General features: G+C 45.1%; 1 annotated feature.

Annotated features, from left to right (window-relative positions):
- Window positions 465-966: an enhancer, noted in NCBI's record as "NANOG hESC enhancer chrX:99004673-99005174 (GRCh37/hg19 assembly coordinates)". NCBI's record gives its function as "activates a minimal SCP1, AML or CMV promoter by ChIP-STARR-seq in naive H9 embryonic stem cells {active_cell/tissue: H9 hESC(naive)}" and the evidence as "EXISTENCE:reporter gene assay evidence [ECO:0000049][PMID:30033119]".

Raw genomic sequence — 1,473 nt, 5'->3', positions numbered from 1 at the left:
ATCTTGAACACTTTGCTGCTTAGAAATTTTTTCTGCCAGATACCCTAAATTATTACTATGGAGTTCAAACTTCCACAGATCCCTAGGGCATGAACAGAATGCAGCTATAACACATGTGAGCTTTGCTCCAATTCCCAATAAGTTACTCATTTCCATCTGAGAGCTTGGCAGCCTGGACTTCACTGTTGATATCACTATCAGCATTTTGGTCACTACCATTGAACCAGTCTCTAAGAAGTTCTGAACTTAACTTCATCTTCCTGTGTTCTTCTGAGTCCACCAACCTCTGCTCATTACCCAGTTCCAAAGTTGCCTTCACATCATCAGGTACCTTTACTGCAATTCCCTACTCCTCAGTACCAATTTTCTATATTAGGCTGTTCTTGCACTGCTGTAAAGGTGTATTAGTCCATTTTCACACTGCGATAAAGACATACACAAGACTGGGAAGAAAAAGAGGTTTAACTGGACTTATAGTTCCACATGGCTGGGGAGGCCTCAGTGTCAGGCCTCTGAGCCCAAGCCTGCATGTATACATCCAGATGGCCTGAAGTAACTGAAGAATCACAAAAGAAGGGAAAATGGCTGGTTCCTGCCTTAACTGATGACATTACCTTGTGAAATTCCTTCTCCTGGCTCAGAAGCTTCCCCACTGAGCACCTTGTGACCCTCGCCCCTGCCTGCCAGAGAATAACCTCCTTTGACTGTAGTTTTCCAATACCTACCCAAATCCTATAAAATGGCCCCACCCCTATCTCCCTTCACTGACTCTCTTTTCAGACTCAGCCCGCCTGCACCCAGGTGATTAAAAAGCTTTATTGCTCACACAAAGCCTGTTTGGTGGTCTCTTCACACAGACGTGCGTGACACTCAGAATCATGGCGGGGGGCGAAAGGCACTTCTTACATGGCAGTGGCAAGAGAAAAATGAGGAAAAAGCAAAAGCAGAAGCCCCTGATAAACCCATGAGATCTTGTGAGACTTAATTCACTATCACAAGAATAGCACAGGAAAGGCCAGCCCCCATGATGCAATTATGTCCCCTTGGGTCCCTCATCCAACATGTGGTAATTTTCGGAGGTACAATTCAAGTTGAGATTTGGGTGGGGACACAGCCAAACCATATTAAAAGGAATACCTGTGACTGGGTAATTTATAAAGAAAAGAGGATAAATTGGCTTAAGGTTCTGCAGGCTTTATAGGAAACATCGTGCTGGCATTGGCTTGGAATCTGGGGAGGCGTCAGGAAGCTTACAATTATGGTGGAAGGCATGTGGGAAGCAAGCATATCACATGGCCAGAACAGAAGCAAGAAAGTGGAGAGGGAGGTGCCACACACTTTTAAATGACCAGTTCTTGTATAAACTCAGAGCAAGAGCTCACTTATCATCAAGAGGATGGCCCAAGCCATTCATGAGATATCCACCCCCATGATCAAAATACCTCTTGCTAGGCTCCATCTCCAACTCTGGGG

Source organism: Homo sapiens, chromosome X, assembly GCF_000001405.40.
Source record: "Homo sapiens chromosome X, GRCh38.p14 Primary Assembly".
Classification (NCBI taxonomy): Eukaryota; Metazoa; Chordata; class Mammalia; order Primates; family Hominidae; genus Homo; species Homo sapiens.
Note: the sequence above shows the minus strand (reverse complement) of the source record. Positions and strands in the feature narration are given on the sequence as shown.